The sequence below is a fragment of the Homo sapiens genome, chromosome 16 (assembly GCF_000001405.40).
Source record: "Homo sapiens chromosome 16, GRCh38.p14 Primary Assembly".
Classification (NCBI taxonomy): domain Eukaryota; kingdom Metazoa; phylum Chordata; class Mammalia; order Primates; family Hominidae; genus Homo; species Homo sapiens.
In genome coordinates this window covers 52,529,851-52,548,283 of record NC_000016.10, presented here as the reverse complement: position 1 = coordinate 52,548,283, position 18,433 = coordinate 52,529,851, and the positions used below count along the sequence as shown (strand labels likewise).

Genomic DNA, 18,433 nt, shown 5'->3' with positions numbered 1-18,433 from the left:
ACAGAAGAAATGAAAAGAAAACCCATGTCATGCTTGTCTGAAAAAGCTCAGGCCCTGGGCCAGCAAGGTGTGACCAGGGGATGAAACTGTTAGCGAGTGTCATAGGAAATATTTCAGAATGTCGCCACTCTGGTTAAAGTAGCTGGCAGATAACTAAACTGGGGAGGGCGCAGATCTCACGGCCTCTCCACAACGTTCCCATTTAGTATAAAGCCCCTTCCCTTCGCCAAGGCTGAAGGCCAAACTCTCAGATTAACTCAAAGCAATAAAGCCGATGAGAAAAAAAATTAAATAAAAAGATGGAGCTTAAGAAAGATAAAGAAATAAAGAGGGGTGGGTGAGTGTAGAGTGGGGAAGTTAATCAGCTAGGACCTTTTAGGAAAATAGGGACATTTTCTCTCCCAGAGCAGTGAATGATCTGCCTAGATCCAGTTACTCAAATGCCTTTCGAATACAAACAAGAGCAAAGAGAATACGAAGAGAACCGACACGAGGCTTCACCTGGGAAGCTTCAAGTCTGCCTACCTGTGAAAGGTCAGGCCCCAACACCCCTTCTGGGAAATCCTACAGGTGAACTTGGGGTCCCGGCTCCCGGCTACCGGGAGACACTCGTGCAGGTTGGCGTCTGGGTTAGGTGTGTCCACGCAGGGGACATTCGAAAGGCAAGGCGGGGTCGAGGAGAGGGGCCCGGGGACAGGCACCCATGAAGAAGGAAGGGGGTCATGGGGAGGAAAGCGACAGGAAGGGAGCAGACGGCTTGGGGATGCTGGGGCCCGGGGAAGCTGTGGTCGCGCAGGAGGAGGGTGGGACACACGGGACGCAGGGCTGGCGTCCGCTTCGGCCGAGGAAAGGAGGGGAGAGAGGAGCGCTCCGAGGCAGTGGGGACAAAGAGGACCGGAGCGGGAAGGGGGGCGAGGTAGGGAGAAGAGGGGCCCCGGAGAGGGGGCGGCCGCGGCGGGGGTGATGGGGCCGGCGGGGCGGGGTGGGCGCTCCCGGAGGCGGTCCGGGCCGAGGAGCGCACCGGCGGGGCGGGCGGCGCGCCAGCTGCCCGCGGTGGGAGGGGCGGAGCGGCGGCGGCGCGGGGAGGGGACCGGCGGCTGAGGCAGGAGGGGGAGAAGGAGGGGAGGGGCCGGGCCCCTTGTCTCCGCGGCTCGTCTCCTCAGTCCGCCCGGGGAGGAGGAGGAGGAGCGGGGCCAGCCGCCGCCGCCGCCGCCGTCCCAGCCTCGCCCAGCGCACCTGAACTCGCCTCGCCGACCCGGGCCCCAGCGCCGCGCCCCGCGCCCCCGGCGCCCGGCCCGCGCGCAGCGCTGCCTCGGTGCCCCGGCGGGGCGCGTCCCCCCGGCCGCCTCCCGCTCTCCCGCGGCTCGCGTGGCCGCGCCTTTGTGTGCGGCGGCCGCGGCTCCCGAGCTCCTCGGGCTCTGGGTCCCGGCGCCCCTCCGGCCGCGAGTCCCACGCGCCACCCCCGGGCGCCCTCGACGGTGGATCTAGCGGCGGCGAGGAGGCGGGTCCCGGCCCCGGCGAACCCCAGTCCCGGCCCCCGGCCCCGGGCCCAGCTTCGGCATGGATGTGAGGTTCTACCCCGCGGCGGCCGGGGACCCTGCCAGCCTGGACTTCGCGCAGTGCCTGGGGTACTACGGCTACAGCAAGGTGACCGGGCTGGGCCGGTGGGCCGGGGGGCGGGGGCCACCTCCCCATCCTGGGCGCGCCCCGCGCTCGGGCTCACCGCCTGCTGCACTTTTCTTTGGCCTCTTTCCTCCCATGTCTCTTCTACCTTTGAGCCTTCGTCTCTGTCCAGCTCTCCCCGCTTCTCTTTCTGCCCCATCCCACGCCGCTTTTTGTCCCCCAGCCGGCGCTCTCCTCAGCCCCTCCGCTCCCTCCCACCTCCCCGCCAGACTCTCCTTTGCTGCCCCCAAAAAGCGAAGAGAGCCCGAGGACTGAAAGAAGGGCTGGCGTGTGATTGTTTGTTGCTGTTATTAGTAAACACGATCGCAGCCCCCCTGGACTGAGTGGGGGCTACGCAGGGGTCCCTGATCTCCTGGTCCGATGATCTTGCCCTCCCCCACCCCCAGTCCTTCTTACCTCCCCCACCTACTCCAGAGCCGGCCTCGGGGCCGCTTACGGACGGAAAGGAACAAACTTTTGAGTATGCCTGGACAGGGGAGTGGGGGGAAGTGGTGGGACCCCGCAGGTGGCCTTTGCTGCCCTTTCGTTAGGGCACTTTGGACCTCGGAACCGGGGTGCCCGCCCCTCCCCGCTTAGAGTAAGTGGCTTCTTTCCTCTCATTTTTTTGGGGGGGCTAAGTTTTGCATTTCGGGGAGATCGGGATTGGAGACCTCCACACCACACCCTGGGGTCACTCCACCTTCTCCACCTCCCCCTGCGCCAACTTCGAGGACCGAGCGTTCCAGGTGGCGAGGTGGACCTCAGAAGGGCAGCGGGCGTCGCTCGGAGCAGCGAGGCGGGCGAGAGTCGCAGCCCTGGTACCCGGGCCGCGCGGAATTCCCCCCCACCATCCGGTGTCCTCTGTCCTCCCTGAAGCCCCCAGCGCCGAATTTGTCGAAAACATCACCCTGAGGGCGAGATTCAGAGAAACAGCCGGGCTCTGAATGGCCTGTGCCTTTTGAATGTGGTTTTCTTTCCCCTTCCTCCTGCTCCTCCCTCCTCCCTCTCTTTTTCTTTCAAATCGTAGTTTGTTTGTGATTGCTTGGATAACAGGAGGAAATAAGGAGCCTGCTGAAAGAAAGGTGCTAAACAAAACTAATGAATAAATAACAGGAAGAGGAGGAATTGCATCTAGAGTGAGGAACAGTTTGCTGTGCCCCGTGGCTGATGGAGGCTCGTGTTCCTTTCTATTTGTTTATACTGCGTTCCCAACTCTAGTGCTGAAGTTTGTAAAAGACCATTAGGGTCTCTCTTGCTCGCCCTCGCGTGTCATCATCGCCCAGCTCAGCGTCTGGCACAGAGGGGCCTCCCAAAAAATATAGATCGAGGGGACTTTATTCCGTGTGCTTTAACCCTTTGGTGGTTGGAGCGTTCCTGCTCTCCGAATTCTAAGGGCTACGCTAAGCATTTATAGAGAGGCAAGAAAAGGCCGATCGCTGGAGCCAGAGTTAAGGATTAGTTTGTGTCCTCTGATTTTGGATTTACTCAGGTTATTAAATGCTTTAAAAAGTCCCCCATGTATGCTCAGTAAGGGACTTAGGCAGCCTAATTAAGTATGTAGTGTTTCTGAGAATCTACCTAATTGTTCCAGTGGGGTATTATTTATCTCCTTACAACTTAGCATGTGGATGCAAGCCTTGTATAAACTGGGCATGCTCTTATTTTTGGAAGCCATTACCTTGCCTAATGTAACTCCTTCTTTCTCTGATTTAAGATCTGCAACACTCGAATGACACCAAAATAGAAACCTATTGTACAAATGCAGTCACTGCAATGCGTGGCAAATCTCTGTTCACTGGGATCCCAAGGGTACTTCAAGGGACCAGAGGAAATTGGGGGTGTTTTGTGTGTGTCTCTTTTTTATTTTCTGAGAAAGGCTATTTTGAGTCTATTTAAGCTCAGAACATTTATTTCAGGGAGGGTATATAAAGCTTGAAAACAGACATTATTTATTGAGATGCTTGTTCAGCTTCAGGAGTGTGGATACAAGTTGGCTTACTGTCGTATTTTCTTAATGCAGCTATTTGCCTGAAATAACTTGCTTTCTTACTTATTTAGCAATCTGATCGTCATCAGTGCTCTGTGTACCCAAGTTATGAAAGTTAGACATAGCGCTTAATATTGGTAGGAATCAAATTATACTTATTGTAAGGGATCTTTGTATTGACTTCCTTGCAAGTAAAAATATAACTATCTTTAAACTGAGCCACAATACTATATTTTGCTACTTTTATTTTCGGAAGTGAAAAACACAATTTTATTTCCCATAATTTTCCTTTACAGAGAATATAGTAGAAGAGGAAGTATTAACTTTATGGGTATAAAGCAGCAAGTGCTAATTAAAGGTTTATAGCATTTTGTTTCACAGCTAATTTGTGTGTCTGAAGTGGTGCTGTTCAATATAGGTTTATACTGAAAATGTAAAAACTAGCATATAAAGACATGCATTTATTTTATTTGAAAATACTCACATTATTAATTAATCTCTAAAGACTTAACTTTTGATGACATGTATTATCTTTCTGGATGGGAAATGATGGATTTCAAAGAAAGTATGTTTCTTCCCTCTCTTGTTTTAATGACCATCTGGGAAACTTTAGAAGAAACACCGAACTCTTGGCTCTAGGCTTAACAAGTGAAAGTTAGCGCTTATCTTTAAATTTATTTACAAACCGTGAATAATAGGGTTTCATTCATTACTCTCTTTAACAAATGACCAGAGTCCTTTGTATCAATTATATGCATGTGTATTATCTTTACATTCTGTGAGTATATGGATCCTTTTCAAATGTCAGTGCTCATGAAAGTGTACTGTGTCTGTGGAGAATGGATGAAAGAGTTTTGTGGGTTCAAAAGTCGTTGCAAGTAGGAGAATAACTTCAAATAAAATATAGCCAGGATCATTAAAATCAGTTAATAATTCATGAACCAGCCACTGATGTATAAACTTAAAGTCATCACTGTTTCCTAAGGGCTAATTTCCATTTTAATTTCAAGTAGAAAGTCGACTGTTTGAACATTTCTTTTTCTGGTGTGGTTAACAAATTAAACCCTGTATATTAAGAAATAAAAACTCATTATGTTGCTCAAATGATCTGGTGACTCTTTGACTATATATTTGTAATTTTTCTTTCCTGAGTTCAATTTGTCTTTTCACCAGTAAGAAAACAATACACAGAATATCAATTAGCAAATATAATTTAGCACTAATCTGAAATCCAACATACTCCAAAATCCAAAACTTTTTAGAGCACTGATGTGACAGTCAAAGGAAATGCTCATTGGAACATTTCGGATTTCAGATTTTTGGATTAGGGATGCTGAACTGGTAAGTATAATGCAAATATTCCAAAATCCAAAGAACCCCTAAATCTGAAACTTCTAGATCTAAGCATTTCAGATAAGGGATACTCAACCTGTAGTTGTCAGAATTCTGCCATCCCAAAATAAGATACTGTGTTTAATGTGGGTGTGAGGTGAAATCATACAGTGGGTTGTTAACAAACTTGGACTAAACTCCAGTTACTAGCTATTTCTGCATATTTTTAGGGCTTTTCCTTTTGAATTATGGCTATTGACCTCTCACCCTTACTTAGATTAGTGCTATGTTGTTTTTATTCTATCAGTCCCAGACTTTGCTTTCTAATTATTATGTGTATTATTTATTGATCACTTTGATTAATTAAGACATTCTTATATTAGTGCTTTGACTCCACCTGATTGGGCTTCTGCCTTGGCTAGCTTGAAGGGCAAAAGAAACTGCAGGGTAATTTGTCATTTGTCAATCTTCTTGGGGATCATGGTTCAAATTGAGAACATATTGGGGGGAATTTGATTGAAACTCTTCTTAGATTGAGAGATTCCTGTATCCTATCACGACAGGTCTTCACGTAAGATATTGAAGCCACATTGTGAAAAAGAAATAAGGTTTTCCTAAGAGCCTTAAACTAGGGGGCATAAACTCAATTGTCTCTTGGGACAGCAAGTTAGCCTACATGGAGACAGGGTTTGCGGCCAAGTAGAGAACATACCCCATTTAAAGGGATAGCCTTCGTCAGCATTAGTAGAGTGTTGCCATGCCAACATTTGGGTCCAATATCTCTATACTTTACAATTCTTTTTTCAAGAGGATGATAATCTGGGTTTTTATGTGAATTATCATGAATTTTAAATGTTGGAATAAATTAACAAAAAATAATTAAAATCATTATGTGGGACCCTCAAAACTTGCTTGTGTGCTGATTCTTGTACTTCTTGTCTTAAATTCATATGTAGATGAGGATCCAAACATAACTTTTTAATAAGTCATTTATGGTTTACATGCAACTATGTGGACAGTTCTGCTCCCATGTCCAACTATGTAGACAGTTCAATAGAATGGAGTAGAGCTGCGTAAAGAAATTTGTGACACCTGTGAAGACCAGACTTACCACAGAATGGTTGGCTTCAGGTTGGTACCCAGGGCCTTTTTAGAACCTTGGCAGCTCTAAGCACTATTGATCTGAGCTCCCTTCCATGCCCCATCAAACATTAAAATGCATCCACATCCTGCATTTAATCTAATGTGATATGATACCATATCTGAGTTGATATGGATCCGTTGACTTAGTTTACATTTTGTAAATATTTAGCTTCACATCTATTAGTTGTAATTTTGTAGTTTTCTGGTGATGTGTGGCCAGTTTATTTTTTTCTCACATTTTAAACATTGTTGTGGGCCCATGAGAAGCTTGCAGTTCTAAGTGTGTGGTGTATAGTGACTAATGGATAAAACAGTCCTGCTGCTCCTAACTAGAGGTCCACAAACTATTTGACCACTCCAGATGCTGGGCTACTGATGAAGACCCTGTGCTCAGTAGAGACTAGCATATAGTTAGCCAAAGAAAATTAATTTTAGTCATTTCAAATGAAGTCAATGCATGTAGGTGGTCACAGTTTTCAAAGTATGTGTCGATATTTCAAGGAATCTACTTCATGTCACAAACTCAGCTGGATGTGAATCCACTTGAAAATTTGTTTAATCTGCAGAGTATTAAAAAAGGCTTGGTTGTCTATATCTAAAAAACTTTGCATATAAATCTGGATTCCAGCTTTTCTTTAGACATCTGGCAACACTGAACCAATATCCTTGTATGGCAACATCTGCTCGGTGTCCTTCAGATGTGCCTGTACCCCATAGTTCATCACGGCCTGTTTCACAGCCTGTCTCATATTCAGACCTTTGTAATCCTCTCAGGACCTGAAGGCTTCAAGTTTGAAGATTTTGATTAAGAGGAGAAGAAACTAAAGGAGCAACAAATGATGCTCAAACCCGGAAAGGTTACTGCCACCAGACAAATTGCAGATCAAGTGCATCTCATGCTATGTACGGTAGTAGCTGAGATGGTAAAAAATAATTTGTGATCATTTTGTAGGGCAGTGTTTCTCAAACTTTACCATGCACAAGAACCACCTGGGAGCTTGTTATAACACAGGCTTTTGGACTTTACCCTTGGAGATTCTGATTCATGGGCCCAGGGCTGGGCTCCCAGGCAATGCTAAGGTTGTGGGTCTGTAGACTACACTTTGAGTAGCACATCAAGCAGAGGGCCTTCTAAGGTCAAGAGTTTGCTCTTTCTAAGTTTATCAGTTAGAGTGCTTTGGGCTGCAGAGAACAGAAAACTCAACAAATGGTGGCATAAACCATAAAAGACACTTGTTTACCTTCAAAGAAGTCTTTGGGTTGGCAGTGCCAGGTTGTTTTGGATGGTTCAATCATGTCTTGAAGAGCCCTTCTTTGATTTTCTTTTTATTCTGCTATCCTTGGAGTTTTATCAGTCTTCCCATGGCTACAAGTTGGCTGCTGTAGCTCTGGGTGTCACATCGTCACATGAAAACACACAAAATAAGAAGCAAGGTGATGGTGGTGGGAGTGGTCACAAATGAGTACTTTCTCTTCCTGTACATCTCTTGGCAAGAAGGAAAAGCTTTTCCACTAGACCGTCTCTTTTATCTTATTGGTCAGAAATGGGTTGCGTACCAACCCTAGGCTACTCACTAGCAAAGAGGAAGATTACTTTGATCAGTTTAGACCAATCCAATATCCCTTGAGGCTGGGCATTGCTACGTGAGCATAATTAATTAGTGTTATGCTCTGTTAGCAAGGAAGAAGGCTGTTGGAAAGTCAACGGTGTCTGCAACTGAGTGCATTCGAGGAATATATATATACACATAAATATTTTTTGAGATGGAGTCTTGCTGTGTCACCCAGGCTTGAGTGCAGTGACCATGGCTTATTGTAGTCTCAATTTCCCAGGCTCAAGAGATGCACACATACCTGTGGTCCCAGCTACTCAGGCCTCCTGAGTAGCTGGGACCACAGGTGTGTGTTCGCTATGCTTGGCTAACTTTTTCATTTTATTTTTTGCAGAGATAGGGTCTTGCTGTGTCACCAGGGTTGGTCTTGAACTCTTGGCCGCCAGTGATCCTCCTGCCTTTGACCTCCCAAAGTGCTGAGATTACAGGTGTGAACCACTGCGCCCAGCCTGAAAAATTTTAAGTGGACCGGTGGATTGGTTAGAGTTTTACTTTTGTAAAGATTGATCTGACCTTTTGAGTAGAATGGTGTAGGCCCCGGCAAGAGTAGGAGAGACCGGGAGTAGGATGCCATCACCCAGTTGAGGTAAGGTATGGGAAGGATTTGAATCAAGGAGATGTGAATTTGGATGCAAAAGAAAAGAAAGCACTAAACAGAACCTCCCGACTGGAAGGCAGAAAGAGGAAGCAGAAACGATTGAGGGTGTTTGAATTTGGGGCCTGGACGAATGGTAAGACCTTGAGTGGAAGCAGAGCGGAGAGAGGAGAAGCTGGTTTTGAGGAAAGATAACCAGATCAAGCTCATTTTGGATATTTCAGTGGTATATTCTCACAGAGTCATGCACTGGAACTCAAGAGAGAGTTTGGGGCTGAACAACCAAAGATGGAGTCTTTCTGTTTGTAGTAAAGCAGATGAATGAAATGAATTTGAGTCCTTCAAGAGGAAGGAGACAGGAAATGCAAGGACAACATCCTTGGACCTGAGGATTGGCTGGTGTTGCCAATTCAACTTCCCAGTCAGTGAGGCAGTAATTTAGGAAGTAACATGTGAAACAGAGAATTTGGAAATCCTACTGCACTGTTAAAAACAATGACATAAACAAGGAATGTGTGCTTATGTGTGTGTTTGCATGATGAAACATCCTTTCTCTCTTAATAGTTATTTGGAAGGAAACATTCTTGAATGTGTGAAACTTGAAGAATTTGGAAATCCTACTGCACCATTAAAAACAATGACATAAACAAGGAGTGTGTGTTTATGTGTGTGTATGCATGATGAAACATCCTTTCTCTCTTAATAGCTATTTGGAAGGAAACATTCTTAAATGGTTATTAAGGGGGAATGATGCAAAATTTGTGATAACATAATTTAAAACCATATTAGCCATTTATGAATGAAAACATTTATTTTTTTGGAAGACACATTTGTTTTGGATTTCATGAAATGTTAATGGTGTCATAACTATTTTAGAGAATCTGTTTTGAGTATGGTTAATAAGAAAGGACAGGATTTTTGTTGAGTATACTTACAAACTCAAATATATTTTGAAGGTGGAATTAGTGCTCTAAAAAAAAAAGAAAAATCCTGTTTAAAAATATAAGGAGTAGAGGCTTTTATTTAAGGTCCGCATGAGCTTCTCACAGGTTAATCTTATCCCTTTGAGGTAGATCGTTTTATTTTCTTTGTTTCCTAGGTTTGTATCCTTAATCTCTTCCTCAGGGAGGCCATGTTCTCTTAAATATGTTTCATGCTTGTGTAAAACATGCCAGGCCCTGGAAAATGGCCCTTCTTGTATGATTAACATTCTATCTTTAATCTTAATTCAATTTTGCTTTGTTTGTAAAAGAAGAATTTGAAGATAGACAAATGGGCTAATATGAAGACACATTTGAGTTTTTACTCTAAATTCATATTTGAATGATATATACTCATTCTTTTGGGGGAGTGAGGTTTTAAGCTGGGTCCTTCTATTCCAAATGTTGCAAATTTAATGTAGCCTTATCTACATTGACTAAATTGTTTATGCAGAAGAATTATGTCAAAGATGGTGATAAGAGTGAGTTTTAAAATTCAATTTATTTTAAATGGATGTAGTATAACTGTACCAAATTGTGAGATTTTTTCCAGCAATTTCTACAGCTAATTTGTAATAAGCAAGGGATTTACTGTAGAATAATAAAAATTCTACAGTTTCTTTAAAAAATCTCCTAGGTGTAGGAAGTAGAAGTTCAAAATGCTGACCTGACTAGAAAACTTTTATTAAATATGTATGATTGGTTGGAAGTTGATCTTCTTCAAAAGGGGATGAGTTAAATCTAGAAATATCAAACAGTTAATAAAATATACTCGGTAGATCCATCGTGCTGCTCCTTGATGCCAACTTATCTTTAATGAGAGATTCAACCCTTATTATTTGACTTATTTAAAAATTCTAATAAAAATGTTTAATGGAAAAGTGGTTAAAATGATTGTTTTAGTAAAAATGCTTTGGTTGCAAGTGAGAAAAAGACTTCAGTCAAACTGAGTTAAATAGAAAAGGGATTGTAAGTTTTGTTTCAGGCATAGCTGGATCTAGAGTCTCAAGGGATGCTATCAAGACTTTCTTATATTAGCTCTGCTTTCATCTGTTTTTTTCTTTTTCTTTCTTTTTTTTTTTTTTTTTTTTTTATCATATCAGCCAGGCTGTACTCAAGTAGTGGGAAGTTGTCCAGCAGCAGCTCCAAGTTACATTCTCACAGCTCAGCCTCTTCAAGAGGGAGAGATTCTTTCTTGCATGTTTCAGCAGCTTTTCTGGATCAAGTCTCATTGGATAGACTTGGGTCCCATGCCCAGGCTCGTAGCCACGTAGGCATACCAGTGGGGGAGCTGGACACTGTCATCTTCTTGGAAGCCACAGGAGCTAAGAGTATGGAGCAGTGGTTCTTTGGAGGAAAAACAAAGTGCTGATGTCACAATGAGAGAATGTGGGTGTAGGATAGGAAAGCAAAGTCCATTGAAACGGCTAACTGGAGTGAAGCTTGATGATTTTGAAGATTTCTGAGGATTTCCATTGTCTATGTTTATTATTATTCTTTGTGGAAACCAAAATGAGCCTGTGCTTATGTAATGTAAATATCATAAATATTGTTTATATTAGGAACGCCCTTCTTGTTGAGGCTGAGATTGGATGTGGTCTGCCTTCAAGAAACCTATAGGTCACCTGGATATTCTATGGATATGAGATTTTCTCTTTCCATGGTGGGAGATGTGGTTGGTTGAGAACAAACTGTGGAGACACTAGAATGTCTGGTGAAAGATCCTAGGTTGTATTGAGTAGGTACTAGTAAACTGTGTATGTGTGTGTCTCGGTACATTTGCATATGTATGTGTTTACATACATATATGTGTGTATAGGTAGAGGGTGACATTTTGAAGTGGGGCTAATGAGAAGATATTTTCAAGACAATGTCTGAACATGTTTGAAGAAGAGATTAGAGAGAGAGTGAGAGAGCTATTGAATGATGGATTGGGTGGTCAGTTGCTGTTGGAACGAACACTGTAGATAAAGGAGAGTTAGCCCTTAAATGAAGCCTTGGTAACTATTTCTTTGTGATAATAGGAAAGAAAGGGAAGATGGCTGAAGATTCATATATATATAAAATATGTAAATATGTGCACACATGTGTATATATACATATATATGTACACACACACACACACAGACACACACACCACTGCACTTCCAGCCTGGGAAACACAGCAAGACCTTGACTCTTAAAAATGTCAAGAGTTAAGGAAAAGGGCCAGTGGATTGGACTATGGGAATAAGATTCTCAGTGGCTGTATGGATATAGAGTGAGAAATATATCTTGTTCTATATATACACATGTATATATATATATATATATATATATATATATATATATATATATATATATAGTGTATATCTATTTCAGTAGAAAAGATGTTGGGGAAGAGAGGAGAGAGAGAGAGAACAATATGTATGGGCATGGGAATTGATTGACAAGCCTGAGATCTATCCCTGTGTACTTTTCCTACCTCATTTTCTTACCACTCCTCCCCTCTACCCTCGCTTTATGTGTTTTAACGGTACCAGCCTTCATCCCATCTTTTTGAACTTGATATTCTCTCTGTCTAGAGCCCTCTCCCCAAATGTCTTCACTTGGCTGGCCTCTTCTCAGCACCTATGTCTGAGCCCAGATATCACCTTCAAGTATGTCCTGACCATTAAAAAAATCTCAATTTCTAAAATATCCTTTTCCCCATCTCTCTAATTAATATCTCTCTACCTTCATAATTTTGTTCATAGCATGTACCCTATTTGAATTTCTTGATTATTCATTTATTCATCTGCTCTTGTTGATCTCTTTCCACTGAAATGTAAACTTCATGAGGATAGGGGGTGTATTTACTTTGATGCACATGGTACATCTCACATTTAGAGAAGTGCCTGGCACATAAAATGTGGTAAGAAGTGAACTAGAGATGAATAAAAATACTGTTGAGCAGAAGATCTGGTTGTAGTTTAGTATTTGAGTGAATATGTGTTGACATAGTATGGGTCAGACACTTCTAGGCAATAGGAATGCAGCAGTGAAGTCACTTGTCCATTTTCAAGGAGTTGGACTACAGTTGTGATGATCCCTATTAGAAGTGTTTAAGTTTACATTTTATTTTTAATTTTTTTTATCAGTATTTGATGTGTTGGTGGCAGGAAGAGAACAATGATTATGAAGCTGACTTGGTGGTGGATTTTGCCTAGGCAGGGATGAGAGAACAGGAGTTGAGGGAAATGTGGTATTGAAGTGACTGCTTTTAATCCAACTATTCAGGCCATTGAAGAAATGGTCAAGGAATAGGAGGCCCCCATAATAGCAAAGAGGGTACATTAGGGTTCAACTTACATGTAATAGAAAAAATCTTGAACAGCAACGTCTTAAATGAAGTAGATACTCATTTCTTGTTTCCCTAACCAAATCTAGAGGGAAGTAGTCCAAGGCTAGTATGGAGGCTTCTTAAACACTGAAGAGCCAAGCTGCCTCTAGCTATCCTGTGACCCTTATCCTTATGGCTCAAGGTTGACCTCTAGTCAACCTCCATGGTTTGACCAGCAAGAAGGACGAAGGGGATTGAAGGGGATCAAGGGCAAACGGAGGTTTCCAGAAGCTGCCACATGCCACTTTGCTTATATCTCACTGGCTAGCCTTCATCACATGGCCACACTTGGGTACTCAGGAAATGTACTTTATATTGTGGCTGGCCATGTGCCCAGTGAAACTCTCAATTACTGTGGAAGGAGTGAGTGGAGAGGAAGGGACACCAGGTAGTTCAGCAAGTGTGCTGTGTGTGAGTGAGCGATGGGTGAGGTCTGAGAAACCCTTCTTGGGTATCTCCAAGTTTGAAATTTTATGTATACTCTGTAGTGTTCTTGTTTTTCCTAAACTTCAAAGTTTTAGTTTTTATGTGCTTCTTGGATGATCCTCTTTTGGTGAGAGAGACACACTGTAATAAGATTTATATCTTTTCAGGCCTTTCTTCAGTTTTGGGATTTTATTTTGGGCACACTTAAAATACCCAGTGATTTATGTTCTTTGCAAGAACCACACATCATTATGTCCTAATTTTAATTGATTACCTGCATTTTAGGCCCAAATTTCTCTTCTTTTCAAAATTTTTCCTGAGTTTTTGTAGTGCCATTTATCAAGTCCCAACTCTTGGTAACAAAATTTTGAACACTAGTTAATATTTAGTTGACATTTTAAAAACCAGTTTTTTAAAAACATGATGTTTTTCCTTTTTGATCAAACCTAGTTTATTTCTCACTTCTTATATCCCTATATCCACTGAGAATCTTGTTCCCAGAGTCCAGTCTACTGGCCTTTTCCATTAACTCTTTTTTGTTTTTTTTAAGAGTCAGGGTCTTGTTGTGTTGCCCCGGCTGGAGTGCAGTGGTGTGATCATAGCCACTGCAGCCTCAAACTCCTGGGTTCAAGCAAACCTCCTGATTTAGCTTCCTGAGTAGCTAGGACTGCAAGTGCACACCCCATACCCAGCTAATTTTTAATATTTTTGTAGAGATGGGGTCTCACTATGTTGACCAGACTGGTCTTGAACTCCTGGCCTCAAGTGATCCTCTCGCCATGGCCCTGCAAAGAGTTGGAATTACAGACATGAGCCACTGCACCTAGCCAACCTTTGACTTTGTATGTAACCTTGACTATGAGGACTTGTCAGCTATGCTTGCCACTACTACCTAATCTCCTCTGCCCCCTTTCTTTGCTGTTGTATTTTTTGTGTCAGCCTTAGAGTTTCATTTCTCAGCTTTGGGATAAACTGTGTCCATTTTCCTTACTAAAAATTAATGCTGCCTGACTGTCCCTGGGCCTTTGCTGCGGAATCCTTTTCATCTGTTTGTTCTCTTGGTCATTGTCCACAATGGATATTCCAAGTCTTTCATACTCTTTTGCAGTCCCAGTCAAACCAACCTACCCTCATTTTAGAGGGGACCTCCAATCTTTTACTTATGAAGAATTTGATATTATCTGCCTTAGATCTCTGATTTGTCATCCTCACCCATTCAGGGACCAGATCTTTCTTTCTTCCAGGCCCAGAGAGGGCAGCTTCTACTCTGGGATAAATCCTTCCAACAGTCCTTCCTGCCTGTTGAATATTCTTTGTTCTGCAAACAGCTCCCATCTTTCCTGTCTCTTGCCTTTCTACCTTCAAATGTGCCCAGATGTCTTCTGACTTCCACTATAGATTTTCCAGTCTTCGCTTTGAGTGCCACCTCACTTGTAACAACTTTTGCTGTCTTCTCATTTGCATCCACATTATTATATGCTACATATTTTTATTTACCTCTTTTTTTCTCTTAAATAAATTAATGTGAAATTAAGACTACTGCAAATGGAAAACCTGATTGCTTTCCACACATAAAAGAAAATCCTAAAAATAAACACAAAAGGGGTGTAAACAGTGTTTTTCAAATCTCACTGGAGACCTTGCTTGCCTAAGGCTCTGCTCTCTGTTGAACTCTGTTGAAAAGGGAGATTTGCAAGTGTTAGGGAGGTGTCGAAGATGGCTTAGTACCAAGGCAAGACTTTGTGTTATTTTATCTGGGGGATTGAAAGGGAATTCAAAACAGAATGACTTTCTCAAGATGTCATTAAATGCTCTTCAGTTCCTTGTCTTTGTACTTCCTAGAGCAGAGCTTCTCAAACTTGAATGGCACATGGGGATGTGGATAAAAGACAGGTAGTGGGTCTGGGGTGGGCCTGAGAGTGGGCATTGCTAACAAATTCCCAAGTGATGCTGGCATGGATGGTCCCAGCCACACTTGTGATTGTAGGGTCCTAGAGAAAGGACCATTCACATTTACACTTTTGTCCAACTCTGTTGACCTCGTCTTCAACATCTCTCTGAATGATTCTTCAAACAAGTAATCTTTACCTAGGGTTCCATATCTTTCCCACCCAGGCCCTCCTTAACACTCCATAGACCACTTCTATTCCTTGTTACGTTACTGACACTGTCTTCTCACTCTTCTCCAGCGAGCTCTGCCTTGACAGATCAAACTTCAATCATTCATGCAAAAATACCAGTGCCTTCTCTAGGCAGATTCTCTGCTAAGCCCAGTGCTATACTTCCCTGATGAGTCCTTGACTTCTCCTACCCCCACTTTTATCCTCTGTGTCCCCTGCCCCCATGTTCCTGGTTCCCTGATATTATATACTTGAATGTTTCTGATTGCCATTGCCCTGTTGTCTTGTCTACAGCTTTCCCCCTTCTTCCTAGGAATTGGGAATATCCTCCTAAAGCTTGACCTCTTACTGTTTTGCCTTCGTATGTTTTTCACTTTCTAGGCAGACCCGTGTTGTCTGTACCAGTTATCTATCGCGAGTGATAAACCGCCTCTAAACTTTGTGACTTCAAAAACACATATTTTGTTTCTGATTCTGCATGTCAGCAATTTAGGTTGGGCTCAGAAGGGCAGTGCTTATCCTATTCTGGGTCTCTTATGTGTTTGCAGTCAACTGCAGATTGGCAGGGAGGGTTTGCTTCAGGAGGTTGGCTGGCTGTCCACCGGGGTCCCTCAGTTCTCTGGCATGTATCTTTCACCTCCAGCACGCCAGCCTGGGCTTGTTCATGATGGCAGTATTTCGGACAGCAGGAAAGTACACAAGAACCCTTGAGTCCAGGCCCAGAAATGGCACACTGTTCCTTCTACTACATTCTACTGGCTAAAGCAAGTCACTGGGCCAGCCCAGGTTCTAGGGGAGAGGACGCAGAATCCATTTCTTGATGGGAGGAGCCACAAAATTACATTACAGAAGGGCATGGATAGACAGAGGTGTGGAGAATTGTGGCCATTTTTGCAATTTACCCCAGGGTCTCAAATCCTCATCTCTACTGTGATCTACATTTCTCATCTCCTGCATAGTGGCTCTCTCCAGGCTATGACCGCTTCCCTGTCTGCCGTCAGTTCAAATCCAGCATAAGCCAGAGGGCAACCTGTATCCCCACTGCCCCCCAAACTCCCCTTTGAATTTCTGTTTTTTTCAGTGCCGTATTTCCAGGTGCAAAACTTCAAAATTAATTTAGATTACTTGGCTTCTTTCATTCCCTTAGTCCAGGGAGTCTTCATGTCTTCTTTATTATGCTTCTGATAATCTTTTTCTTTTCTTTCAGCCATCAGTATCCTAGCCCAGGCCTCTCTCCCTGCTTGTCATCTTTTCTCACCTTCAATGGAATCTATGCTTTACTTCTGGTTTAATCTTCTAAAGGATAGCTTAGACAGCTACCATTTTCCTTCTGAACACTTCCAGTGTCTTGCAATGTGTTCGCAGATTTGCCACATTCATTTCTGCTGTATCTACCTATCACTGCTATTATTTATAATTTTTTACATTGACCCACTTTTTAATTTGTATCACCATTGCATATGGCGACCCTGTATTGCTTGCAATGTGTAAAGATTACCCATACAATAAATGCATAGCTATTAAACTTTTAAAAAGTTTTTTATACACCACTTAAGTTAATCTAATATGAATAGTAGACACTAGGAACACTGGCCTGCAGGGTAAATTGCTATGTCCTCAACTTGACATTGAACACCCTCCGTATTTAGTATCAAACTTACCACCTTAAGCAAAAATAAAATTCCTTGGAAAACAGGTGGTGAGTTTTCTTAACTGTTTGAGTTCTGCTCAGGGTCACTATTGACAGTCATTGCAGTGGTAATAGATCAGCACCACAAACTAGGATTGCCTGCCTTTATATTTTTGCACCTTTCCTGGATATATTCGTTGTTTTTAAAATAGCTATTGTCCATGTGACTCAAAACCCATTGTTTATAATAAATAACTTTCTTGGTGGCATAAAAGCCTTGCTCTGTCTGCATTAATAACTTTTCGAATATCCTCCCCAATCCTGGCTTTGGCTAACGATTTCTAATTGCCAGTGGGGTAAAATAATATATTACATGTTCCTCTTTTTACATCTTGTCTCAATCCTAGATTCCTAGAAGACACTGTAGTTTTGACTATACAGCTTAAATCATCGGAGCCTTTCTTCATAGTTTAAACACTGAAAACAGTGGAGCTTTAAACAGGTACAAGATGGCAGGTGACAGCATTTTCCTTCCTCCATGTTTTTCAAGGCTGCATGATTATTAGGGTGAAGCTTGTGGAAGTCCAAGGCAGAAACCAAGTAAAGGAAAACGTAGTCAAGTTAAAAGCTAGTAAGATGAGTAAGAAGAGTGATAACAGAAGACCAAGAAGAATGCAATGGATGGGAGTGATCTAGAAGATTCTTATATCAGGGAGAAAGACCATTCAGTTGTAGAGAGGAAAAAGAGAAGGGTGTAGTTAGAAAAAAAAGAAAAAAAAAAAAGAGGGGCCAGGCATGGTGGCTCACGCCTACATTCCCAACACTTTGGGAGGCCGAGGCAGGGCATATCACCTGAGGTCAGGAGTTCCAGACCATCCTGGCCAACCATGACCAACATGGTGAAACCCCGTCTCTACTACAAATATAAAAAGTAGCCGGGCGTGGTGGCAGGCACCTGTAATCCCAGCTACTCGGGAGATTGAGGCCGGAGAATTGCTTGAACCTGGGAGGCGGAGGTTGCAGTGGGTTGAGATCATGGCACTGCACTTTAGCCTGGGCAAGAGAGTGAGACACTGTCTCAAAAAAAAAAAAAGTGGGGTGGGGGGCAGTTCAACCCTAAGTTAACAGATACATTTGATGACAGGCAAAACTCATGGCCTGATTCCAGTTGCACACTAAAATTTCCATTGTAACACCACACATACATTAGAATTCAACTTCCTGGGACGCTTTTCCTGATGATAAATGTTGCCAACATATGTAATGGTTTTGACACAGGATTTTTGTCCTTCTTGAAGTCCCTGCTGCCCAGTTTGTGTTAATAAAATCTGTTGGAAGAAATAATATATCTAAGGAGAATGGCATGAAGAAGATGCCTTGCTTCCTTCCGTTCATCCAGATAACCTAATTTGATAAGAGATTTCTGCCAGACTTGTGAGAGAGCTGAATGCTCACGATGGCATATTATGTGGCACCCCACTTCACAGTTGCCTTCACAGGCCCTCTCTGCTTTATTGAATTGCACACTGATTAAGGCTTCACTTTGTATTGAGAGGATTATGAGTAATAGTTTCGTGAACATCA

The 18,433-nt window shown here is 42.9% G+C and overlaps 1 protein-coding gene across 4 annotated transcripts in view, besides 1 other annotated feature; it reads left to right on the top strand.

Annotated features, from left to right (window-relative positions):
* TOX3 (TOX high mobility group box family member 3) overlaps window positions 482-18,433 on the top strand; it is a 111,387-nt gene continuing 93,435 nt past the window's right edge. For 3 of the 4 annotated variants that reach the window (XM_005255892.4, XM_047433909.1, NM_001080430.4), the window contains exon 1: window positions 1,141-1,647. In XM_005255892.4, the coding sequence (XP_005255949.1) occupies window positions 1,561-1,647 (87 nt within the window). In that variant the 5' untranslated portion in view covers window positions 1,141-1,560. Of the gene's footprint in view, window positions 571-1,140; window positions 1,648-18,433 lie in introns of those variants that run through there. The other variant, NM_001146188.2, reaches the window with a different exon arrangement.
* Window positions 14,620-15,123: an enhancer, noted in NCBI's record as "NANOG hESC enhancer chr16:52567073-52567576 (GRCh37/hg19 assembly coordinates)". NCBI's record gives its function as "activates a minimal SCP1, AML or CMV promoter by ChIP-STARR-seq in primed H9 embryonic stem cells {active_cell/tissue: H9 hESC(primed)}" and the evidence as "EXISTENCE:reporter gene assay evidence [ECO:0000049][PMID:30033119]".